Genomic DNA, 27,728 nt, shown 5'->3' with positions numbered 1-27,728 from the left:
AAAATATTTCTCAGTTCAGAAAATTTCAAAAGTTTTATCCATTTATGTTTACTTAAATGTCATGATTATTTTCCTAGACTATACATCTAATCTTTGAAATATACTTTGCTTTGTATTGACAAATGAAATATACAGGGCAACATGTTCTTTGCCAATTAGGGAAAAATATATTTGTGTGTTGCAAGAACTCTACTGACTTATTGAGCTTTTTTACACATCCAAGATATGAATCTGTCATACTATTAGCATATTAAAAAAATTGTGAATCTCACATTAAAAAATTAAACCACATTCTTTGAGGAATTGGTGAAAAGTAGCAATCAGATGTTAATAATATTGAATTTTTATAAACTGTATCTGACATTTGTCACTCTATGTGATATGCCCTTTTAGAAGGTGACTGCCTTTATTTCAAGTAGTTCTGACGGATAAACTGAACGTGTTTTCCTTTCTGAACTTAGCGTAGGACCACGAAATCCCTGGACAGGAATACATGATTTTAAAGTCTTTTCAGGAAGAATGAAACCTGTTTGCAAAAATATGTGTTCTTTTTTAGCTCGCCTTTATAGATTTCTGTTAGAATGTTGTAAAAGGAGTACTTCAACTTTGTTCTCCAGGGAAAGGAACATGCTGAAACAGAAAATATTCACCATGTATTTTCCAAAGTGCTTATCACTTATATTTCTTTCATAAAGGCAGTTAAACTGCAGGTTCAGAAGCATATTCACATACATGTTCATACACATCCCCACACAGTGGTTTCATATGTTGCATTTTGGATGAGTAGACTTTAGTTTTAGTTCATGTGTAGCAGGTTAAAAATTAATTACTAGAATTTTGGGTAAATGCAATTCAGTTTCAATTCAACAAATGTTGCTGCCTCTCTAGCCCCTCTGATTAAAGAAAAGGGATACAACAATGAGCAAGATGTAATATTTGCCACAAGTAATTTAAGAAAAGCTGATGATATTTTTTATTTTAAATTAAAATAATATTGCCCTACCTAAATCTATAATAAAAAGTAGAATTAGATAATAAATTTCATATGTATATCTAATGTCTATATCTATATTTACCCGAATGTTTTGATGTTTTATATCAAAACTCCTAATAGTAGAAACTTTTTGAAAGCTGGCTATTTCAACATTTAATAAGATGGAAGTGTGGGATTTCAATACAACTTCCAACAAGCCATGCAGAGGATAGGGTCATCAGAAATATACCCGAAGGTAGATCACTAAGCCAAGGAATAGCAGCCTCATCTTGGGGTCCATTTGTTGTCACTCATAAGGCTTTTTAGTCACCAAATTCCAATGCTCTGTTTATAGTTCTGTTTCAAACTAATGTTAGGCCTTTCGAGGTTATGGCCTTACCCTTTGTTTAAAAAGAAACTATTTCACTGTCTTTCAGAAAATAAAATAGGCCTTTGCTTTTCCTACCTCAGGAGTGACTGGCACACCTTGGAAAATAGGCAGGTCCCCAAAATGTTAAGCGTAGAATATGCTTATATGAAATGTTGAGCATATGGTCATATGGCCCAGCAATGAAAATACTATGTCCACACAAAAATTTGTGTGGGAGTGTTCAAAATGTTATGTCCATACAAAAATTTGTGTAGCAGCATTTTTCAAAATAACACAATGAGAAAGCAGCCAAATGCCCATCAACTAGTGAATGGATACATAAAATGTGGCATATCCATACAGTGGAATATTATTCAGTAATAAAGGGGAATAAAGTGCTGATATGTGCTGCCACAGAGATGAACCTCAAAAACATGCTAAGTGAAAAAAACCAGACACAAGAGCCCACACATTGTTTGATTCTATTTATTAGAAATGTCCGGAATAGGCAAATCCATAGAGACAGAGAGTAGATCAGTGGTTACCAGAAGCTGAGGGGAGGAGGGAATGGGGAGTGACAGCTAATGAATACAGGGTTTCGTTTGGGAATAAAATATTCTAAAATTAGATACTTAGGAGGTTATGCAGCTCCATAAATATAGTATAAACCATCTAATTGTATACTTTAAGTGGGTAAATCTTGTGGTATATGAATTATACATCTCAATAAAGTTGTGAAAATGAATATAGACTGAATGGAAATTTAAACACATTTAAAATGATTTTTTTTTTTTAAAAAAAAGGTATCTGGCAGAATGCAAAATTTTCCAGAAAGTGAAGTTTCTTGCCTTAGCCATTTTGTTTAGGTTCAATGACTCCCTTTTTCCACCTTCCTGTAAACATTATTTTTAAAGGGAAATCTCATTTTTTAAAAAACGCAAAATTAAACAGCTTTATATATCATCCTAATAAGGTTAAAATACCCCAAAAGAGCCAGTCATTGAATTTAAAGAGGGCTGCTCCCAGAATATTCGACTGGCTGGTTCCTGGTGTACCCCAAGGTCCAGTCTTTCTCTCTCTCCACCTAGTGTCCTGTTCTCAACCTGCCCTTTGGCTGTCTACCACCCACAATTGCTCTTCACAGATGGCCCTTAAAACTCATCCTCCTTTTAACTAAGCAAGGTCTGGTAATACCTTTTATTCATCCTTTCTTTGTTTTACCATGTATTTACCATGAATCTACTATGGGCCAGTTATTCTCTAACCTCAAATTATCATTTGCTAACCTCAAAGAGTTATTTTCATCATGAGAAATTCAAGGCACTTAAAAGTTACTTAATGACATTTAGGCAACAACTTGTAGTCTCAGGTATAATGCCGGTTTTTGAAAGTGAAGTAGCTACTTAGAATTCTGTTTAAAATCTTGAATTTGGTATTCATAGGTAGTTGTCTGTGATTCTAGGGCCATCAGAAAGGTTCACATGTCCTCACTTATCTCAAGCTTTTCAGGGCTATCTTAGTCATTCAGTTTCACACTAATTCTGCCTTTTCTAAGGTTGTGGTCTTCTCTTGGTATTATTTACTGAACACCTCCAATGGCCCAGGCACCATGGCAGGCACAGATGACTCAAGAAGTCTAACCTGACCCTCCATTCACATAGAGCTTACATCCTTGGGCTACCTTAATTTAGTCATGGAGGTTTATTCCATTAACATCGTATTATGAGACCCGTTTCTCCTGGGGAGGGCAGCCGAAAGCAACACGACACAAGAGAAGCATAAAACCCAGCTAACTCTTTTTAGCTCATCAGTTGTTCTCACTTTTGATGTGCATTGGTTTTTATCTCCTTTCAGCATCTGGCTACATAAGCCCAAAGAGCTGATCAGTTTTGTTAAAGGAAAAAGGAATGCCGGCAACATAGGTGTAGATCAGAGAACCCAGAGAGAGTGAATCTAGGACAGAGTGCTGGCGTGGTCGGCACAGAGGCCCTACGATGCTAACGCAAGGAAGGGGCATAGCTAGTTGAGGCTGGAGGAAGGACAAAGGCAAGGAATTTTCCCAAATGCACTCTTTTCCCCTTAAGCAAAGTCATCTTTACAGTGTGTTCATTTGGGAATGTGAAGAAATGTACCTGCTTCAAACTTATAGACATTTATTTTTAAGAAAGTATTTAAATTTGCTGTATCAAAATTCTTTTATGTCTTGTGGAAAATATAATCCTATGGCTCATACAATTGTATTTTACTCTCCACTATGAATTATTTAGAGCATCCTCTCTTTTAACTGTATACCAAAACATCATTAGAGGTTGTCTAATAGCTAGCTCATAATTTCATTCTCCCATTGAGGCTTGTGAGCCAATTTTCACCCTGTTATACTCTCTAGAATAATGAAACTAATTTGGGATCTTGCTGTGGAATTAAATGCTCATACAGATCTCACTCCCTTTGAGACCATAAACATCTGCCATAATATCTCTTATAGCCAAATAACCTTACTATAACCAGTATGACTGAGAAACTGTCAGTGGAGTAAAACAGTTTAGGTACTGGCAGAAATGCTCAGGTAAATACCATATTGCCAATGGTTTGTCATCTAAGAAATTTGTGTACTAAATAACCATGCCATTATTTTTAGACCCTCCATTATTTTATCTAGTCATGAGAATAAAACTGTAGCTAGGCAACCATTTAGACTATCAGGAATTTCATGTTAGTTTTGAAATGGCCATAGACTTTTTTAAGGACGATTTCTAACTGTTGTTATCTCATAATGATATCTTATTTATATTGAGCACTTATTGTGTACAAGGCACTTTGCTAAATCCTTTAAATACATTATTACACTTAATCTTCATACTGACTCTGTGAGGTGATTTACTATTTTAATTCCCATTTTACAAATGAGAAAACGAAGGCTAAATATACTGCCACCAGCATTGCCTGTTAATAAAAGCATGTTAAGGATATAAGCCCAGGCTCTCTGGCTCCGGTTCCTGCATGTGCCCATACACTACCTCTATATAACCTTTGATGACCTTACCCTTGTGGTATGGAGCAGATAAAAAAGTAAATGGAAAGGGATTGGAGGTAGAGTTAAATCCTATAAAAACAAACCAAAATTAGGGCATAGAGGGGGGATGAGGTTGTGAAAGGGGATATATTTTAGAAAGGGTAGTCAGAGAAGACTTAGCAGAGAAGCTTCAGAGGTAGAGCAATCTATGGAGCTACTTGAACATGACAGAGAAGTCATCTAGGTAAGGTATTCATTCTTAGAGGAATGAAGTGGCCCTCAGATAACTAGACAAATAGGGATTTTATGCAAAGAGATCAAAGAAGTGTGAGGGAAAGTAGGCAGAGGCTATGAGAAAGGCTACAAAGATATGTATGTCCGCATTCTCCAGTCCCTCCTGATCTCTCATCAAGACTTCCATGTCTTGTCCCGTCATTTTCTCTGAGTCTTTCTCTTCCTTTGAGACTGCCTTTCTCTCCAGGCCACTTGCTGTATCTCTTGTCACATTGTACCAGCACCCTCCCTTTCCTAGCTCTCTTGCAGTGGCATGGTCCTCCTCATACCCTCACTTTCTTGGGCTGTATCCAGACTCTGGTACACTTTTAGAGAATATCACCCACCTCTCCTTTTATACCTTTTGGCAATTCCACTCTTTGTCCAACCTTGGGTAACTCCTTTTTTCATCCTTCCCCACTTGGATCAAGCCCCTGATCTTGCCCCATCTGTTTGTTAGCAGATGGCCTTGTCCCTGTACTTCTAAGAAAATCCACACCATCATGAATGCACTTTAACTTCTCATTTCTGTTTTTAATAATTATTCTTCTCTCCACTCACCTCTACATCCTTTGATTACTCTCTGATCAATATGTCTCTTTTCCCAATTAAAGTAAATCTTTTTACCTGATCTCTTGATTGCATTTACCTCCTACTAATGGCCTTTTAAACATCCTTTCTATCTTGTCTTGTGGCTCCTTCCCCCAAACATCTCCTATATTAAAAAATGTTCCTCCGTTACTATTATGTTTCCCTCTCAAAACAGTTTTCATTCATTGTCTACTTTTATACCTACCACTCACTCAGTGCACTGCAACTGGACTTCTACCCTCAGCATGCTAAGCTAACAACATGGGCAGGGTCCTCCATACATACCTGATTGCTAACTCAGTGGATTCAGTCATTTTCTCTTCTTTTGGCTTCTCTAACACCACTTTCTCCTGTGTCTTGGCCTACTTCTCTGATTATTCCTTCTTGGTTTTGCTTGAATGTTTCTTTAAGTGTGGGTATGTTCCAGAGTTTTATCTTTGACGATCTTTACATCTTACGTTCCTTTTTTTTGGCGGGGGGTTGGGGGGTAGTGTGAATTCACCCATTGCTATGGCTATACCATTATGTTGATGACTTCCACACTGATATCTTCAAACCAGACAGCTCTTGTATGTGCTGTATCAGTAAATCCAAATTACTATTGGATGCCTTGGATGTACTTCGGATGTCCGCAGCCCCCTTAACATACCTAAAACTAAGAAAAATACTTGCAATGTATCCTAAGCTTCTTCGTTTCCCTTAATTTTCTCCTTCTATCTTCCCATTCATGCCATCACCAACTCCATGTCATTAGGAGATGAATATTGTTCGTTCTGTGAATTTAACATGTTTTATATTTGTCTACTACTTACTATCTCCTGTCTCTTACCTTGGTTCAGTGTCTTATCCTCTCTGACCTGTCTACTGCAATATTGCCTTCATTATCTCCCTCTCTCCTGCCTGACTCTTTCCAACCTGCTCTCCTCACTACTGCTAAAGTTATTTTTCTAGAATGTAAAACTGCTAGTGTTAATCCCATGCTATACACTCTTCAGTGATTCTTTACTGCCAGTACTAAGTCCAAACTCCTTAGAAAAACATATCCTGGTACCTGGTCTGGCTTCTGCCTACTTCTCTAGCTCACATAGTGGAATACATGGGATGGAAATATTACAGCCTGACTTTGAAGCCTATTTAAGGAATTTCTGTTTTGATCTGAGATTTAGTGAGAAAAAAAGCCTTTTAAAGAAGAGATGATATATTAAAGTCTAAAAAATGTCCAAGTCTATTTAATTAGAAGATGTTCTATTTAGCAAGACAACCAGGGGGAGAGAAGGGTCAGATTTGAAAAAGCATGAGGATACAAGAAGCAAGATGTGGAGTGAAAAGATAAAGGTGGATTTTCAAAATGGAAATCTGTTCTGGATATCAAAAGACACTATTGCTCCTGTACTGTATATAAAGAGAGATGGTACTACCTCAAAAATTCCATTTCTAAAGTATTCCCAGTCATTACTCTTAACTCTGTGTAGGAAAATATAATCTCCTGTTGTTATACATTTGTTACTAGCCAAGTTATCTGCTAAAGATTTTATGTAACAAATCCTTTTATATTGTGTCAAGATTTAGAGTTGAATTTGAGCCAATCTAGAAAAATGTTACAGTAACTGTTGATAGCCGTAGATCAGATATTCGGGTTACATTGTTTTAATTTTGAAAGTATAATTATGTATTTTACAACTAAATTCTTCTTTATAAGCCCTCTCTAGATCCTTAGGAGCATAAAAAATTAATTATAAATTCTAATTAATTATTTAATATTTATAAATCACTTTAAAGATTAAAAAGAGGTACCATCATGCTAAAATTTTTACATTAATGAAGCAAATACTGGCATTTATTGGATCCAGGTTGAAGAAAATAACAATGGGACATAAAAATACTACTCATGGGAAGCATAAGTAATATTCATTGTACTATTCTTCATCGTTTTGTCATGACAAATTATATAACATGAGATTTTTAAAAATTAAATGATAATAGTATTGTTACACCTTCCCCAAGTGTAAAGATTGTTTTATAGAGGTTCGTAAAAATTCTAAATCTCAACTTGTGGTTTTTCATGTCTATGCTGACTTGCCCACCTGGCCCCTGAGCCACCTATTAACATAAATCCCAAGCGGATGAAGTAGCGGCATTGTCCATTCTAGCACAATACCATTTTGTGTAAAAATCTTTAACTGAGCCGGGCACAGTGGCTCACGCCTGTAATCCCAGCACTTTGAGAGGCCAAGGCGGGTGGATTGCCTGAGTTCAGGGGTTCGAGACCAGCCTGGACAACATGTTGAAACCCCATCTCTACTAAAATACAAAAAAAAAAAAAAAAAAAATCAGCCACACGTGGCAGCATATGCCTGTAACCCCAGCTACTAGGGAGGCTGAAGCAGGAGAATCGCTTGACCCTGGGAGGCAGAGGTTGCAGTGAGCCGGAATCGCACCACTACACTCCAGACTGGGCGACAGAGCAAGACTCTGTCTCCAAACAAAGAAACAAACAAAAAAAATCATTAACTGAATCCTAAGTAAAAATCAAAAGTTATTTCAATGGTCATAGTTAATGCTTCCTGTATATTCTAAACTAATTATTTGTATTTCCCTAGGACTTTTCAGCATGGCCTGGATGAGTCTGCTTCAGATTCCTTAAAATCATTTTTTAAGCAACCATTATATTGGGTTTCTTGCATATCACATTTCTACCCTTCTTTACTCAGGTGAGAGCCTCTAAATGCCATACTATCTATAATTCTATGATTCCTTTTAAAATTTAATAGAAATTTTTATCAATGGATGTAAACGAACTTATATCTTACAAAAAGAACTTACGACTTTTCACAATTGGCAGGTAAGTAAAGAGTATTATTTCTCTTTTCTTAGCTCAAGAATCAAAGGCATGGGCCTCATAATTATTCTACTAGCTTATAGCTTTCGTGATGTAATGGAAAACTGTAAATTTTTGGAATTTAGTTTTATTTTAAAACTTGTCTTTCTTGATCTATGACTGGGGATTTGGCAGTTCTCAAGCTAATTATCAAACATAGACATGTAACTAACTCAGAGCCTTAGGTAGAAGTTGAAAGAGAAGTAACTTTTTAAATTATGAGTAGGATCTTTCACTTTTATTATTTAATTAACAGCACTTAAAAACAAGAAAAATCATTTAAAGTATGAAATGTGCTTCCAGAGTAATCTGATGGCATTTTGTGGCATTATGTGAAATGGCAGTTTGATTTCTTGCTAAATATAACATTGGAAAGTACCTTTCCTTGGTATCTGAGAATAAAAATATCATGTACAGCTAAAGGAGATATTGTTAATCCCCATACATTCTTGATTCATCTTGGAAATACACTATCAGCTATTTTACCATCTAAGCTGACTATATCTCTCTCTTGAGGAACAAGATTGTCACCCATAAATAGAGGGTGTGAAAACCTCATATACAGAAGTTTCCATAGACAAAACAAACTTACACTGTTTGCCTAATGTGTGCCTATTTCCATATGGGTAATGAAAAATCCAACATTAATGAGACATAGACCCCATCTTCAAGGACCTCAATGTATTGTTATTACCTCATTTACATGGAAAACTTTGTCTACATTTCTAGTTAATTACTTATGTTTGAGTCCTAGAAATAGAATAGTCTCAATGCTCTGTCATCTTGTGTGTAAATATATCTTGCCATCTTGCCCATAAATATATTTTATTTCATTACGAATTAAATAGCCAACTCCTTAATACTCATTGTTGCAAAAGTAACAAACGACTGGATCTCTTACAGTGTGAGTCAAGCAAACAAGCTGTGTCATTTGATGAGTTCCTAAGTCTATAAACATATCTGTTCTCCATGTTATTATCACATTTGCTTTAACCTATTTTACTGCCCGCTTTTATCTTATATCTGGAACCACTGGAGTTATTCTCTTTTAGGCATAACTCTGTAAGACTTCCACTTCCAAGCTTGCTCGGATCAACCCAGCTAGAGTCCTGGAAATCAGCATGGAAATGGGCTTATCTTTCAAACACTAATTCTTATATTAACTTCTTTCTCTTTTCTATATCTACAGCAAGCAAAAATGCACATTTCTTTTCTTTCTGTTCTGTTTAGCAATCAATCTCCATTATTATCCTAACACAAAGACTAGAACATGGGGACGACTATTCAGCTCATAGTGGAAATGAAATTTTATGCAAATTCATGAGGGCAGTTTAGTAATACGTATTAAAAACTTAAAAATATTTTTGCCCTTTTATCTAACAATTCTGTTTCTAGGAATCAACTATAAGCAATTAATCAGAGAGGTTGACAAAGTTTTATATATGAAGATATCCATCGGCACATTATTTGTAAGAGAAAAAATGGAAATAAATGTTCTACATTGTAGCATTAAACAATTCAGTATGGAATAGTGGCATAATAGACTACTGTGGAGTGATTAAAGGGCTGGGTTTTGAGAAATAATTACATAGAGAAATAATTGTGGTAGATAAGTTAGGGGGAAAATTGAGATTAGTAATGATGAAATTACCAAAGCCAACTCAGTTTTTAGAGTGATGAGTGTGTACCAGACACAATGCTAAGTGCTTTACATACATTATCTTTTTAAAACCTCATACTAGTTCTGTAAGGTAAGTACTCAGGTGCTTCTTTTATGGAGTGCAAAGTGCTGTATAGGCAGCAACATTCTGGAGAGAACAAAACTGGAGGCCAGGCTCTGAACCCAGGCCTGTTCTATTCTAAAGCTTAAGCTCTTGACAACCACACCCCCACCTTTCAAAGGGAAGAGCAGTTCAGGATGATGTTAACAGGTGTACATGAAAAATCATTCTACTGCACAAATAAGATTGTCAGTTATTAATTATGTAAGGTCTTTTTTGTGATTTAACTTTGTAGGGATTCTGACGTGCTAGTATGTAGTGTTTAGCTCTGCTATGGTCTGAATGTATCCTCCAAAATTCACTGTTGGAAATATAATCCCCAATGCAACTGTGTTGGGTGGTGGGGTCTAATGGAAGTTATTTATATCATGTGGGTTTTTCCATCTTAAATGGATTAGTATTACCATAAAAAGGGCTTACAGGAATGGGTTCATTTTATCTTGCCCTTCTTCTGCCATGTGAGGATGCAGCAAGATGGCCTCACCAGATGCTGGTGCCTTGATCTTGGACTTCCCAGCCTCCAGACTGTGAGAAATAATTTTTTCTTCTTTGTAAATTACCCAGTCTGTGTTATTCTTTTATGGCAGCACAAAATGGACTAAGACAGTCTCAAAGGAGTGATCTAGTATGCAGATTCCCCAAACTTGCTGGGTGAGAGAACTCTTGTTTTGCAGGGAATTAACAATTATTGGAAGGTGGGACATCATTAGGAAGTGTTAAACTATGCTCTACTACCATATTTAGAGCACAAAAAAAAGTACATATAGAAAAATAAATATTGAAAGGATATATAGTGGTGGGGTTATAGTTTTTATCTCTGGGTGGTAGGATTGCAAGCAATTTTAATTTTCATCTACATAGTTGTCTATATTTTCCAAAGTTTTTATAGTGATTATAATTTAATTTTATTAATTATGAATACTCTTTTTTTGAGATGGAGTTTCACTCTGTCACCCAGGCTGGAGTCCAATGGCACGATCTTGGATCACTGCAACCTCTGCCTCCCAGGTTCAAGCGATTCTCCTGCCTCAGCCTCCCAAGTAGCTGGGATTACAGGCACGTGCCACCATGCCCAGCTAATTTTTTGTATTTTTAGTAGAGACAGGGTTTCACCATGTTGGCCAGGCTGGCCTCAAACTCCTGACCTCAAGTGATCCACCCACCTTGGCCTCCCAAAGTGCTGGGATTGCAGGCATGACCCACTGTGCCCGGCCTGTGAATACATTTTTTGAAAAGCAAAAAGAAAATCTATTTTCTTTGATTTCTCTTTTATTCACATGGCTTAACCTGTAACCTCTATACAGATGATTTCCAGTGCTGCATCTATAGCTTTGAGTGATTACCTATACCCCAACGGTATATGTCCAGCTGTTGTTATTTCTTGAATACCCACTTTCATTCAATACGATGTCTTCAAATGATCCTTCTTTCCCTTCTTCCCTTGTCCTTCATGCAGGGAGTCTTTTCTATTAGGAGTAACAGTGTTGTTACATGCTTCCAAAATACAGTCTTGATCATGATTTCCATGTTGAGCCTTTTCTTCCTCTAGTCCTAGTTTATTATTGTGTTTAGTTCATTTTTCTTCCAAAATTCTCTTAGAATCACCCTTTCTCTCCACCCCATTATAACAACCTTAGTCCATTTTACTATCATTTAACGTGTTTAAAAGACTGTTTTCATTATATCTCTCTCTCATTCAGAAACCTGTAGTAGCTTCTGCTTCACCCACACTGTCACTCCTGGCTTACTTGTTGGAGAGTTTTCTGGCTTATTTCCTGGAGAGTTTTCTCTGCTCCAGTTAAGTCAGTCTCCTCATGTGTCTTTAAGACTTAGTTATTCCATATTTTTAATATTGAATTTGTTGCTTATTCTCAGCTTCAGGCCTTTGTTTATGCAGTTTCCTTTCTTGGAATACCTTTGGTTCTCTCCTTTGTCTTTCTAAATTCTCCATGCAAGTTATGTTAGGAGGACTCTCACTGATATCCCCCCTGCCCATTAGGTGTCATATTTTCAACTAAGTCCATATAATCTGCTTAGAAAGACATGATCCATGTGATTTATAATACAGTGTGCTCAGAGCACCGTACAATCAGAGGAACCCAGGGCAGCAATAAAAGCAATTTTAAAATAACTAAAGTTATTGATTTGCATTTATCAGACATTACAATGGGGATTCCTAGACCACCATTATATGACCTTAAAAATCTCACCTTTCCATTCATTTCCCTCACCTGTAACAGCTGTCTGTGTGAGTCTTTCACCCCCAAATTATCCTTCAAAACTCTATTCTTCACTTTAGCAACTAAAATGAACTGTTCAAGGAAATACAGGAATTGGATGATGACAAACAAAAAATATATTAGGCCTATCTTTTGGTAAAAGGGAAGGCCGAGAGGAGAGGTGACTGAAATAGTTAATATCATGAAGGAACTTAGTAATTTATTCATCTATTTGCTTACTTATTTGTACCTGCACATTGTTTCAGAAAGAATTTAAGTCAGCTTTTAGCAACATTAAATAAACTAAGATAATTAATTAAAAGTGGCTGAGAAGGAAAGAAACAAAAAGGACATGAAATTCAGGACACAAATAGAATTAAAAATGGACAAATAGCAGTACGGACCATAAATTTGTCTATAATCTTACTAGAGAAAACTATGAAATGGATAAAAGCACAATTTTTCATATTCTCCTAGAACCCTGGGAATAGAGTTTAGAAGAGTTTATTTTAGGGAAAATAAATATATTTTCAAAGCAGTAAGTAAAATGTACTCTATTCATTGTCCTTAGCAGTGGTATAGGCTAACAACGTGAGTTGATTTAGAAAGGATAATCAGTTTCATACTAGATTAAGCTAAGACATATGAAAAATGTATTAATCTCAAGGTTAACACAGATACCATATTGTGCATTCATAGAAATGTTCAAGAAAGAATGCTGTCCTAGTCAATTATAATATGTTGCATTATAATGCCTCTTATCATTTTCTAAACTTACCTCTTCATGTGGTTTAAAAAAGCATTTTCAGGTCTTCCTTAGCTAAGTAGGTCATAACTGTACACTGAGTCCAAGAAGTATAATCAGTGTGAGTAAACAGTCCATTCATTTTAACTACTAATTTTCTTTTATGGTGACAACATGATGCTTTGATTCATGGCCAGTCCATTTTGAGCTGTATATATTTCTTTCCACTGGGCTTTTTGTTTCTACTATGCTTCTATTCAATGTAATCCTGTTTTGTATTTATATACATATATTTTCCTCCCTAAAAATATTAAGCTATCTTTGGTTTCATTATATTCATATTACATGCTATGTGGGTCTTTCCTTTTATTTAGTTTAGCAAGATGTGTTTAATCATTCCTTCAATAAATGCATTCAAAAAATGTTCTCCATGTAAGGCATTATGCTAGGTGTCAATGGTGAAGAAAGAGGCAGGCAATGACATTTAAGACAAAGTCCCTTTCCTCATATTGTCACATGTTGGTGAAGAAATCAATTGTATTTGCCTGCTTGACCACAGTATATGATACCATTGTCTACTCCCTCCATCTTGACATATTCTCTTGATTTCCTCCTGAGATTTTTACCCACTTTTGTCTTCTTTCTTTCCTGTTGCTGCTTTTCTGTTTCCTTTGCAGGTTCATATACTTTAACCTGGCAATTAAATATTGAACATTGTTAGTATTCTATACTGTAACCTTTTTTCTTGATGATCATAACATTCTATGTTTCCTGTACTCTTTGTGTGCCCCCCCAAATCCATATCATTAATTTTAATCTCTCTTAAGACTACAGATCCATAATATATGGGTACCAACCATACATGACTACCTTCTTGAAATTTACACCTGGAAATCATAAAGACATCTCAAACTCACCATAACCAAATCTGGACTTAGGATATTCCCCTCCGAACATATCTTCTTCTACTATTCCCTATCTCAGCTAATGGTACGTCCATCCAATTGTAGAAGCCAGAGACTTAGACTTAGGAGGCAATTGGACACCTCCTTTTTGCTCTCCTACACACCAAATCCATTACTAAGTCTCATTAATTTTAACTTCTAATATCTACTCTCCATAGTACCAGTTTCACCTTAGTCTCAACTACCATCATCTCTCTCTTAACTACTCCAGTGACCACTAGCATTTTTCCTGTGTACATGTTGACTTCCATTTATAATATTCTCCAACTGTAGCAAGAGTTTTCTCAAACCCAAATCTATTTTCAAAACTCACATTTTATCATGGCATACTTATGGCTTACCTTCCATGAATTCACCGTTATCCTTAAATATGTACAAAAAACTAGCATAGGCTACAATAGCTGCAGAGATGTAACTCTTACCCACTTCTCAACCCGCTTCTGATACCTGCTACTCTGTGAATTCTGCTTTCCACACATTAACCCATTTACATTTTCTTTCTATGCCATGTTCCTTTCTGCCACAGGATCTTTGCATATGCTTTTCCCTTTCACTAAAATGTCTTTCTCTTTCACATAGGTAATGCCAGCTTATCTTCATCTCTCAGCTCAAATGTGACTTCTGCAGGGAAGCCTTTTATCAACCCCAAAGACTAGTTAACTTCCTTTTTACTACAACTTCTAATAGCATTTTTACTTTTCTTTCAATGAGTTTTTATAATTGTTACTTTATCTTTATTTGTATGATCACTTAAACTATATATGTGTCCTCCACTAAATTCTATAAGAATAAGGAATTTCTGCTTTTTGCTTACTGTTACGTCTCCATGGTTTAGCATATACAAGTTAAACAATAAATATTAGTTGAATGAATGAATAAAAAAATTCAAACTGGTATTGTGTCCCCTAAGTGCTATATTAAAGTATTGTATTGCATAAGTGCTATATTAAATGGTGGGAACATTTGATCTGTGTGGTAAGGCCCAGGCAGGGGAAGCACCATCTTAATGAGGAGGTGACTTCTAGTATCCTCAGGAGAGAATATCTAGGGAGGAGGACAAAAAGAGTTTTTGGTCTCCCAACTGCTGCTGAAAAACTGCTCTGCGGGACTGAGGAAAAGAGCTTAGCGATCTTGTGCTCTGATGAGGTGCCAAGCATTGACATAGTGCCAATAGCCAGTGGAGAAGTAATGAGAGATTTAAACACCAGAGATCTTAAATGGCTGTTCCAGAGTGTGGATGGACAAGCAGTATGAAAAGATTTTCAGAGGGAAGTCAGTGTCTATGGAACAGTTATTTTAAAAAGTGAAAATGTCAACTGAACTAGGTATTTAGCATATGGACCTAGATATCTTAAGGTTTATGTCTTTTCTATCATGGCTTAAATATATTACATAATTCAGAATATAGAAATGAAGCCAGCAATGTGATGATAGGAAACAGCTATAGGTTTTCACATTGGTTTGCATACTCGTTGAGTTTTGTGATTTTGGAAAGTTAGCCTAGGAGTGATTCAGTTCAGTTTCCCCATATATGAAACAGTTTATATTTTGGTGAGGATGTTGAGACATAAATACAATACAATCTTATTAATCTTCTTGAAGACAGCATGTAGTCCAACAGTCTACTTCCTCCATCTTGAAACATCTTCTTCCCTTAACTTCTGAGATACTCTCATGGGAGGGTCATGAGGACTCCATGAGCTGAAGTGCCTCAGTGGCATTCATCACATAAATACTAAACTATCATTCATAGCTGCTGTTAGTAAAGAGCTATATATTTCAGAGAGTGGCAAGTTTTATCAATTATCTAAACATGTTGAAAGGACTTACTTCAAGTATGATAAAGTGGAAGAAATATTGAACCACTTTCTTACTGGGTCAGGAATGTGTTGCTAGGGGAGACTTTTTCTGAACTCCCTGTAATAGGTCAATATCTTATAGACAGGGACCAATAATAGTCAATGGCACCAAGGAGTTAACTTCTGCTCCTCAAAAGGATGGCTGAGTTATTCAGTATTGTCCAATGTCTTAGTGATTCAGGTGCTAGATTAGCGTTGCTGCCGTGTAAGATGTGCCTTGCTTTCTCTTCACCTTCTGCCATTATTGTAAGTTTCCTGAGGCCTCCCCAGCCATGCGAACTGTGAGTCAATTAAACCTCTTTATAAATTACCCAGTCTCAGGTAGTTCTTTAGAGCAATGTGAAAACGGATTAATACATGGGGTCATTGAGAATGTCTTCTATGGCCCTAACCTTTACACCACTGAGATCTGCTTATTCCCTATGTTAGGTTCCCTGAATTCTATCATTGATTCTTCAGGGTCATAGCTGGTTACAATTTATTCATTTATTTAAGCTTAATGACAGTGGACTTAGCAGGACAGGCTACAGTACCCCCTGCTGCAGATATTTCTGAATCTGCAAGTGATATTTATTATTACATTCTTCTACCACCTATTCCATCTTTCCCTCATGATTGGCCATCATCTCTGCCGATTTATGTTACTTGCCCAGTGGGGTCACCGAGACCTTCATCCTTGAAGTAACCTGAACTCCTGGTTACTACTCCCTTATCAGACTTGGTTACTGAAGTCTTCTGAATGTGATAATTGCCAGTCATGAAAGCATTGAGAGATGCCCTGGTGAATCTCTTGAGTTACAGATACACTTCGCTGCTCCCTTTATGCAGTAGCAAGCCCAGCTCCTCATGATAAGTAGGGTTAATCACCCTCACCAGCATAGTAATTCCTTTCTTTGCCTGATAGACTGCTGGCATGGAGAGCCAAAAATGACCAGATGGCAGCTATAACTTTAGGTTTAGTGGGATCCTAAATGGTCCCCCTGGTAGAGGTGTGTATACCCCCATCCCACCCCACCATGGAAACCAGAACCTCTGCTCCTCCAGAGCTTATAGTTATTGCGATAGAAAGCACAAATTTGCCAAGTGGATTATCACAATCTTTGGTGGGAGGGGCTGCTCCTACTTTCACCCCTTGTCTCTCAGATCTATGTAGTTTGTCTGTTGGGGCCACAGTACCATATAATGGTTGTTGGTTAAAAATAAGTATCAAGTCTTGAGGGACAGCATTCCAGCACCACTGAGTGTCATTCCCAAGCTGTGAATTTTGGAGTCCATTCCAATTTTCTGCTAGTCTTGCAGCTTCTGCATGATATATAAATGGTAGGAACAATATACCCCATGGTCATGTGGCCTGAGCAATAAGGCTACTCATATCCCAGTGTGAACCCTACTGCAGAGCCTTCTCTTGGCCCAAGCCTTACCTCACATCAAGTTGGAAGTCAGGACAGTATGATTGATACAGCTAAGATTTTGTTTAAACATTCTATTGCAGCATGAGTACATACCAAAAAATTGAAGAAAGTATGTGAGCTAATTGATGAATTTTCATAAACATATCTGAATGTAGCTAAGATTTTTCACAATGATTTTATAAAAATAGTTTAATAGTTTCATAAACCAATAATGCTTGGACCCCATTACTACCTGGAATTTAAAAATTCTTTAGGCAAATTTGTGCCCCAGAAATACAGCACTTATTGCAGTATAAGCTGAGTACAACCCAGCCATCAATTCATCCTGTCTCCTAGTACAAGATTTATGAGTTCTATAGGATTTATAACATTTTCCCCCTTTGTATTACGGTGGAATTCAACATGTACATATTTGATACATACATACGTGTGTGTGTGTGTGTGTGTGTGTATATATATACATATATATATATAAAATTTCCCTTTCTGTCATTTTTTGTAAGGCTAATCTCACTTTCACAGCTCCACCAGCTCAAAGGCTGAGGGAACATATGCTTCTCCATATGCCCAACACAGATTCCTCAATGCATTTATTACTCAGAGCTTGGTGATTGAAGAATGTTTGTACTATTTTATTTTTCCTCATAGTGAGTCATTCTACTGTACATTTCAAAATCTGTGATAAGTTGAAAGATCCAAGAATTGAGGTACATGTCAACAAACAGCTTTCCATCTGGTAAATGAGAGATTTTATTTATAACCAGGTATTCAGATACAGCGGCATAAAGTGACATTCAAATGATTTTATTCCATGACTGAAGGGCTAAGGAAAACACCAACCACCTCCAATCCATTCACCACACTGCAACCAGATCAGGAAACTCCTTTGCCTTAAACTCTCCAATGGGCCTAAAATCCACACCTTGGGATATTAAGGCTCTCCACAATCTAGCTCTTGGCTCCTTCTTCAGACTATCTCTCAAAGATTCCCTTTCCTTTCTACACTTCAGCCAAATGGGATCTTTCAGTTCATCAAATGGATCCTTAAGTTAGCACTCAACTCAAGCATAATATATAGGTAGGAAATGTTCAAAACCCAAGTCAATTTTAATATACAGCTTACTACCAAGTAGCATTTTTCATCCATTGAACCCCAAGGGAGCATCTAGAATCAGTGTTTAGGGTTTAGGATGGAAGTAGGGGCAACCATTGTAAGGATCTGTTTTAGATTTTTAGTCCAAAGGGCTCATCTAGTGAGTTCTTCCTTTGGCACCACATTTGGAACTACTGCAAAAGCCAGACCCAGACTAATCTGCAAAAGTAATTCAGAACTCCTGGGATGTTCAGAACTGATAAACTTGATTCCTCTGGCCCTAGAGTTTAGTAACACCCTTCTTCTCTCTTTACCACTCACCCAAGGCAGGAGGTTTCCTAGCTAACAGTGCCCCACCAATTGCCTGAGGAGTTACTCCAATTTGAGATATGTTATCAGAGTTTTACATGGGAAGCCTGAGTTGGCCCAAGGTTGAAACACAAGCTGATGGATTTTGTGCATAATAAAGTTATGAGATGTTCCAAACACCATTCCAAGCCAAGGGGGAGGTGCTTCGAGACTTTTTCATTTTGTGTCTTTGAATCTTCTCACTTTTGTTTAAGCCAGCCTTTTGGCAAAGCATCCTCATCATTTTTTTTCTATAAGTTTGCCTACTCATTTATGAGCAGAAAAATCAATCAGTTAACATTTAGAAAGCCTTTAAATGTGCTTAGTTCACTAGTAGAAGCTTTGGGATATACAGCCAGTGTCTTCACAAAGTTCGAATCTGGGTGAATTGAACAGATAAAACTTTAGTTGATGAAATAATAAAGTGCTGAAATGTGTAAACTTGCCACTATGAAGAGAAATTTTTAGGGAAGACTTCACAGGGATAGAGAATGTTTGCTGCAAATTAAAGGAAGAGTAGGATTAAGATAAAGATGAAAGGTTATAGGGAGTTTATTGCATGGATGGTATCTTAGCTCTGGCTGCTATAACAAATATACCATAGATTGGGTGGCTTAACAAACATTTATTTCTCATGGTTCTGGAGGCTGAAAGTCTAAGATGAGATACAGCACAGTTGCATGCTAGTGAAGGCCTTCTTCCAGGTTTCCCATAGCGAACTTCTTGTATCCTCATGCAGAAAGAGGTCAGGCTAACTCTCCAGCCTCTTCTTAGAAGGACTATAATCCCATTCATGGGGTCTCCACTCTCATGAACCCAGTTATCTCTCAAAGTCCCCATCTCCAGATACGTTGGGATTAGGGTTTCAACATATGAATTTTGAGGAGGGGGAACACAAACATTTAGCCCATTGTGGGTGCAGCCAAGGTGGACCTGTGCAAAGGCAGAGGCAGGAAAGAGGATGCTAATTGGTCCTAACCCTACTGCCTGTGCTTCAGAAAGCACTGCCTACATGCATCAAGCCTTACCATGCATGCAACAGAATCTCCTGGAGAAAGATTGTTGAAACACAGATTTCTGCCCTGTCCCCCGCTCCCCGCCCCCAATCCCCGCCCCAGAATTTCTGATGGGATGAGGCTGGAGAATTAGGATGTGATGTTGATGCTGCTGGTTTGGGGCCCAAGCTTTGAAAACCATTGGTCTAGACTGTGTTGATCACTGGATGGCTTACCACACAGTAAATTGCATCTGCTAATGATAATGCTGCAGATTGCCTCTCTCAGTGATACCCCTTTCTCTGCATTACTTTCCACCCTGAAGCATATGATGCTCCCATTCTCACCTCTAGATTGCTCAGTCCACCTTCCCTTCCCTGTGCCGCCCTATTCCTATGTCCTTAAGGCTGTCACCAGATTGAGTTTAACTATTTCCTGCCTTTTTTGTTGTTGTTCTCCTTGTAAGTTGATTTCCCATTTTGCAACTGTTAGCCAATCTAAATTTTAGGTTTCTAGATTTTAGAAGGGAAAAGTAAATAATGTTATCAGTTCCTTTGCTCTCCTGCTGATTCATTGGTAAATGAAAGTGGTGATGTGAGAGACCTGATTTCTATTTTCTGTTCAACACTGATAATTTTTCAAGCAGAAGCGTATTTGCCTCGGAATTCTTTCCCTTTGATGAAATGATTACCCAAGTAGGTAACAGTTTAATAGCAGCAGTTCTGATAATTGAATGTTGATGTAAGGCTTTACATATTAAATAATTAGATTACGGTTGACCCTTGACAGAAGCTTTGATTTTTTTTCATCTGCAATCACATTATATAGCAAATTACAAACTAGTGAAACTCATCAGAACTTCTTTCAATCAATAAGGAAAGGAGTTAATAGCACATAGTAGGCATTGATATATTTGGTAAATAAACAAATGAATGCATTCAAAAAATGCATAAGTAATTTTTCTTCTCTCCGTGAAACAAAAACAGACATAGTTCCATGAAACATAGGCATGGGTATTTTGTATCAGTTTTAAATTTGGCAAGGTACCAAATGTTAGTTTGCTTTTAGCTAGTTGAGATTAAGTGTAATTCCTTCCCCAGGCAACCCTAAAGTAAGCAAGCATGAAAGCATTTTCAGAGTAATCAGGGAGGAATTGACATTTAAAGGAGTTAGCATTACATCTGTACTTTAAGGCTATTAATTTCATAGATAAATTAACTTCATTACTCCATCTTTATCTTGCATTTTGAAAGGACTCCATCAGCTGGAGGACTGAAAGCCGAGGGTCAGTTGAAACTGCTCTTATCCCAGCCACGTTGTAACTGGAACTTGCTTCTGGAAACCCTACTGCATCATGATGGACTTTTACTGAGAATCTTGCTGAAGAGCTCAAGTGAGTATGTGTAGTTATAAGAATGTCCTCGAAAAACCTAGTCATTGCTCGAGTTGAATAACATTTTTTTCCTAGGCAAACATTGGAAGAAAGATGTAAACCAATAGCATGTATCAACATTCAGCTGGGTTAGCAGCAGTCAAAAGCATTAAATCGCTTTACCAACCTATTTGAAAAAATTTATTTCAATGACTCTGAATGAGAGAAAACTATATTTTTATATGACACTGTTCTATCACAACTACCATTATATAGAAATGTATCAATACGCAGGGTTTGAAATGCCTAAAAAAATTGTAGGACTGCAGTTATATTTCCAAAGCACAATCTGAATTAGACCTAGAGAGAGAAAGAGAGAGACAGAGACAGACAGAGACAGAGTATTAGATTAACACTGGGAATTTCAGTGTATCACGAAGGGTGCTTGTGCAACTTACAAACAAGCAAGATGTGGCCTACAGCTATATCCGTTGGAGCACAGAGTAGTAATCATCAGAAAATTCTGAATGGAAATCGAGGAGTAGTATAAGACCATACTTCTCCTAATTAGTTTCTTTTTTTCCCCTTTAAATGCTTTTTAAGAAAATGGTAAGTAATGTTATGTCAGTATAATATTACATCTCACTGCTGTCCCACTTCATCTAGGAAGAGCTTTTCACCATTTTCACATACTCCTGTGCATCTCTCCTATTACGTACCACAAGCGAAGCCTGATTAACTTTATCAATTACTAGTTTCACTGTAGGTTTCCCAAATCAAAATCTTTCTTCTGTAGTTCCCCAACACCTGAAGCACCCAAGTCCCTTCACCATTCAAATATGATCCCAGAATAGTTTTCTAACCTTTTCCCCACTATTTCTTTGCAACTTACTCCTGTAACAGTTGTTGTCCCCAAAGCCCCAAGCATGTGTTCACTCCACACCTTGGCTCACCTATCTTTCCTACTTAAAGACCTGCCATAAACAACTTGGCTTCCACCAGTCTGCAAAGCCCAGCTGATGTTTCGGAGCTTTGAATGCTCTGTCTTAACGCTAATCTCTTGCTCCCCTGAACTTCATAGTGAACTTTCGTCTTGGCTACTTTATTTGCCCTTAGCATGCACTGCCTTATATTTTCATTGTGTTTATATGTGAATGAGGCAAATGTCATCGGGCCCTACCAGCCTGTTAGTATACAAATGAGGTTCATAGCCTTTCCTTGTGTAAATAGCTTCAGTCATTTCTGATAATCTTTGTTTTCTCACATCTGCTCAGGACCAGTTCCCCATATTCTCTCCCATCCATCTCAATGTTTGGTTCCCAAAAGGCACTTAGGAGCAGTGTCTCTTGTGAGAATATTGCTTCTCTCCTGGTGCTCTCCAAACTGTAAAGCCATGTGGTGCCAAAGGTCATCACAACTCCTCAGGCCTCACTGTGTTCCAGGCAGAAAGGCAGAGCTTGCTCCCTCCCAAGCCCTGAATCTGATTTTATGTCCTTAGCTCCCAAGCAGTACTGTTTGGAACTCAAATCTCACAAAGTTTATCTGAAAGCAATTTATTTAGCTTCAGGCTTAACCACTCTCCTAAAGAGAAAACTCACACTAGGGAATCTACTTCCTCACATAAACAACATTTATTGTTCACTTATTAGTTATCAAGCACTATGCTAAGCATTTTATATGTGTTATCTAATTTGATTCTCTCTATAATCTTATAAAATATATACTATTGTTACTCTCATGTTAAACATAAGGACTTGGCATTGAAGATAATTATTACTTACCCAGAGATACACATATCTGATAAATAGCGAGTAGCTCTAGATTTTGTACCCAGCCAGAGCTTTCTGTCCCCTGCCCTTCCAATACAAATACTCATGCAAATTAAACCCTGAAGCGGAATAGCGTAGTATTGGGAAGAATTGTTATCTGTCCACTCTCAGCTTGGATCAACCAGGACATCTTGGTACACATGCATTTAACTTACCTTTCCAGCTAGGTAGGCAAGGCTGTACTGTAGATTTTTGTATTCCTCCTTAAGCTGGCACAGTGCTTTTTACATAAACAGTCCAGTAAACAGTGCTTGGCCAATCAGTGATCAATTAGAATATAAAACATGGTGCTTCACTTAAACTTTATAGTCTAAGTGCTTTTCAGACAAAGCAGCTACATGACAAGGATAATATCTAACAAAGCTGAGAGTTACTTTCATGTGATCTTTGAAACCCACAGGCATGGTCCTATAAGAGAAATGGTCTCCTACTGATAGAGTTATGGAGAATAGATTGTAAAATCAGTTGAGATAAACCTTTTGACTATATTGAGACAGCCACTAACTATAGGAAGTACAATTATAGTTATGAATATTTAACCATGTTCTCTTACAAATGAATCCTACATTTACTTATCAAAAATAATTATGTCCACATTCTGGTATGTATAACATGATGTTGTTTTAAAGAAACTTGGAGTTATCAAAGGTATCATACTGTACTATTTTTAGTTCTGGTTCTTATGGAGTACAGCAGTGTATTTACCCAACCTGCTCAAACACCCATCATTTTAAACAAAGGCTATTAGACTACATGACTGCAGTGATATTGTCTTGTATTGAATTTTACTAGCTACTTCAAATACCATAAGGATAAAGTGACTGAATTTACTGATCAATTGATTGACCTACTTCTTAATCTCCAATAGAATTCTTGTCACTTTAAATTAGAAACAATATATTCATGGAATCTTGTTAATTATACTAATATAGAAATTATTATGCACACAGAAATTAATTTGTAATATTTTTAGATATTTTATTTTTATTTGATTTAAAGTCTCATGATATTTCAGAGTACCATTTTGTAATTTAGAAGCTTGATTATATTAGGAAATATTAGCAAAGCAAAATTTTAGAGCAAAATACTCTGAATTATATATTTCAAGCAACATAACTATCAGCTTTTTATGTGGGAGTTTTAAATAAATAGTGTGTTTTTCACTTCTTATGCTAATAAGCAACCTCAGCAAAGTCTTAGGATACAAAATCAATGTGTAAAAATTGCTAGCATTTCTGTATACCAACAGTCAAGCCAAAAGCCAAATCAAGAATGGACTTCCATTCACAACTGCCACAAAATGAATAAAATATCTAGGAATACAGCTAATAATGGAAGTGAAGGACCTTTACAACAAGAACTACAAACCACTGCTCAGTGAAATCAGATATGACACAAACAAATGGAAAAACATTTCATGCTCATGGAAAGGAAGAATCAATATTGTGAAAATGGACACACTGCCGAAATAAATTTATAGATACAATGCTATTCCCATTAAGGTACCATTGACATTCTTCACAGAACTAGAAAAAAACTATTTTAATTCATATGGAACCAAAAAAAGAGCCCGGGTAGCCAAGGCAATCCTAAGCAAAAAGAACAAAGCTGGAGGCATCATGCTACCAGACTTCAAACTATACTACAGGGCTATAGTAACCAAAATGGCATGGTACTGGTATAAGAACAGACACGCAAACCAATGGAACAGAACAGAGAACCCAGAAATAAGATCGCACACCTACAACTGTGTGATCTTCGACAAATCTGACAAAAGCAATGGAGAAAGGATTCCCTATTTAATAAATGGTTCTGGGAGAACTGGCTAGCCATATGCAGAAAATTGAAAGTGGACCCCTTCCTTACACTATATACAGAAATCAACTTAAAATATATTAAAGACTTAAATGTAAAACCCAAAACCATAAAAACCCTAGAAGAAAACCTAGGCAATACCATTCAAGCATAGATATGGGCAAAGATGTCATGATGAAGATGCCAAAAGCAATTGCAACAAAAGCAAAAATTGACACATGGAATCTAATTGAACTAAAGAGATTCTGCACAGCAAAAGAAGCTGTCAACAGAGTAAACAGACAACCTATAGAATGGGAAAAAAATTTTGCAAACTATGCATTGGACCAAAGACTAATATCCAGCATCTATAATGAACTTAAACAAATTTAGAATGAAAAAACAACTAACCAGATTAACAAGTGGGCAAAGGACATGAACAGACACTTCTCAAAAGAAGATATACATGCAGCCAACAGTTATATGAAAAAAAAATGCTGAACATCACTGATCATTAGAGAAATGCAAATCAAAACTACAATGAGATACTATCTCACACCAGTCAGAATGGCTATCATTAAAAAGTCAGAAAATAACAGATGCTGGAAAGGTTGTGGAGAAAAAGGAGCAATTTTCCCTGTTGGTGGAAGCATAAATTAGTTCAACCATTGTGGAAGACAGTGCAGAGATTGCTCAGAGACCTAGAGACAGAAATACCATTTGACCCAGCAATCCCGTTACTGGGTATATACCCAAAGGAATATAAATTGTTCTATTATAAAGACACATGCATGCATATGTTCACTGCAGCACTATTCAAAATAGCAAAGACATGAAATCAAGCTAAATGCCCATCAATGATAGACTGGATAAAGAAAATGTGGTACATATACACCATGAAATGCTATGCAGCCATAAAAAGGAATGAGATCATGTCTTTTGCAGGGACATGGATGGAGCTAGAGGCACACTGACACAGGAACAGAAAGCCAAATACCACATGTTCTCACTTATAAATGTGAGCTAAACAATGAGAACACATGAACACATGCAGGAAACAACACACACTGGGGCCTGTTGGAGGGTGGGGGGTGGGAGGAGGGAGAGGATCAGGAAAAATAGCTAATGGATACTAGGCTTAATACCTGGGTGATGAAGTAATCTGTACAACAAACCCCCATGACACACATTTACCTATGTAACAAGTTTGCACATCCTGTACATGTACCCCTGAACTGAAAACTTAAAAAAAAAGAAAAAAAAATAGTGGTTTTTTTTCATCTAATTGATAAAACTTAATTTTGTGTTAAATTGTCTCAGGAATAAAAATGCAGAAATATGAAGTACATGTATTTATTACATTTTTTAAAACAAGGTTCTCTTTGTTTAATAAATAATTGTTGAATACTGTTAGGTACAGAGTTTTTCTTGATAAACAACTGCTATGGTTTGAATGTCTCCTTCAAACCTCATGTTGAAATTTAATTGCCATTGTAACAATGTTGAGAGGTTGAACCTTTTAAGAGTCGATAGGGCATGAGGACTCTGCCTTCATGAATGAATTAATACCATTATCATGGGAATGATTTAGTAATTGCTCAAGGGGGTTCCTAATAAAAAGGATGAGTTTAGCCCACTTCCCTGTATCTTGTACACTGGCTTCTGCCTTCCACCCTTTCACCATGAGATGATCCTCATTAGATGCTGGCGCCATGCTCTTGGACTTCCCAGCCTCCAAAACTGTGAGCCAAATACACTTGTGTTCTTGTTAAATTACCCAGTCTGTGGTATTGTGTTATAGCAGCAGAAAATGGACTAAGACAATAACCATGTACTATAAAGATTAAAGCATATGGGATTTATTGCATCGTGAAAGTGATGTCTGTAGCTTTTTGTTTCACTCTGTGGAAATTATTTCTCAGAATTTATGTTTTTCAAAAGAATCGACAGAGCCTGTAGGAAATGGCTCTCTTGTAATCTCAGATGCAACTTCACTGAGCATCAGAAAATAACAAAATTAAATAAGTGAATGGTAAGGATTTATAATTTATGCTTCATAGGCTGCAAACTTTTAGGAAGTGGAATTATGTTTTTGCCATGTAAAATAATCCTCTCTGTATAAAATATGTAGCATTTTGAAGGAATGATTACATTGCTAAAACTTAATAAAAGTAAACTGATTTCACATGGTAGGTGGCTTTTAACACTGAGTACAGTTCAGTTGGCAGGAGAAGGTAATGTTTCTTGGTTTTAAGTTAGGTCATCTTAAATCTGCAGGGAAGAAACTCTCAACTACAAATGATCACAGAAGATTTTAAAATTGTGAGACACTATTTTGAATTATTGACTTTTGACACCCAAGGCAATTGTTCTGGTAATTATCTTGCTGAGGCCACATGGCCTTACAGGTTTCTTACATGTGTCATCAAAGGAACAAATATTTGGCAATTTCCCAATTGTTAGCAGGTAACCTTTCCTGCTAGTGACATTTGAATGAAGTGTGACTAACATTCTTTCCTTTGCCTATCGCCCCAAGAATAATTGCCAGTAAAACTTCTTGACTTCTGATAATATTAATTTGTAATATAATAGCAGCAGCAAACTAGTAAATGCATACTATTTAACATGTTCCAGACATTGTTTCTAAGTAGTTTAAATGTGTTTACTTATTGAAACCTCGTAACAGCTCTGTGTGGTATGATTGTCATTTCCCTTTTAGAGATGAGGAAACTGAAACACAGAGAAATCCAAGTTGCACAACTAGTAAATGACAAAGAAGGATTTGACCCAGGCAGCTGGCTTTCAAATTCTGTTTCCATTCACACAGCACCACATGTTCCAAGCAGAGCCACAGAACATTTACCAAATAGCAATATTGCACAATTCATGGGAACTATCAGAAACCTAAGTAGTAGATAATTTTCATAGTACCTTTTGTACTTTTTAACCTCATGACAAAGTGCCTAAAGATAACAAAGAAAAATATCTAGAGAAAATTCTGACTAAAAGGCTACTACCATTAGCAAGTAACTGTTGCCTTAAAATGAATGAATCGCCGGGCACGGTGGCTCACGCCTGTAATCCCAGCACTTTGGGAGGCTGAGGCTGGCGGATCACGAGGTCAGGAGATCGAGACCATCCTGGCTAACACGGTGAAACCCCATCTCTACTAAAAATATAAAAAATTAGCCAGGTGTGGTGGCAGGCGCCTGTAGTCC

The 27,728-nt window shown here is 36.9% G+C and overlaps 1 protein-coding gene across 17 annotated transcripts in view; it reads left to right on the top strand.

Annotated features, from left to right (window-relative positions):
- The window catches only part of KIAA0825, a 467,754-nt gene that overhangs the window by 157,715 nt on the left and 282,311 nt on the right, over nucleotides 1-27,728 (top strand). For all 17 annotated transcript variants that reach the window (XR_948246.3, NR_169751.1, NM_001145678.3 and 14 more), the window contains 2 exons: nucleotides 7,821-7,931; nucleotides 20,769-20,908. Coding sequence is in view for 15 of the 17 variants with exons in the window: in NM_001145678.3 (NP_001139150.1) it covers nucleotides 7,821-7,931; nucleotides 20,769-20,908 (251 nt within the window). In the remaining 2 variants the exon portion in view is untranslated. The remainder of the gene's footprint in view (nucleotides 1-7,820; nucleotides 7,932-20,768; nucleotides 20,909-27,728) is intronic.

Source organism: Homo sapiens, chromosome 5 (assembly GCF_000001405.40).
Source record: "Homo sapiens chromosome 5, GRCh38.p14 Primary Assembly".
Lineage (NCBI taxonomy): Eukaryota > Metazoa > Chordata > Mammalia > Primates > Hominidae > Homo > Homo sapiens.
Note: the sequence above shows the minus strand (reverse complement) of the source record. Positions and strands in the feature narration are given on the sequence as shown.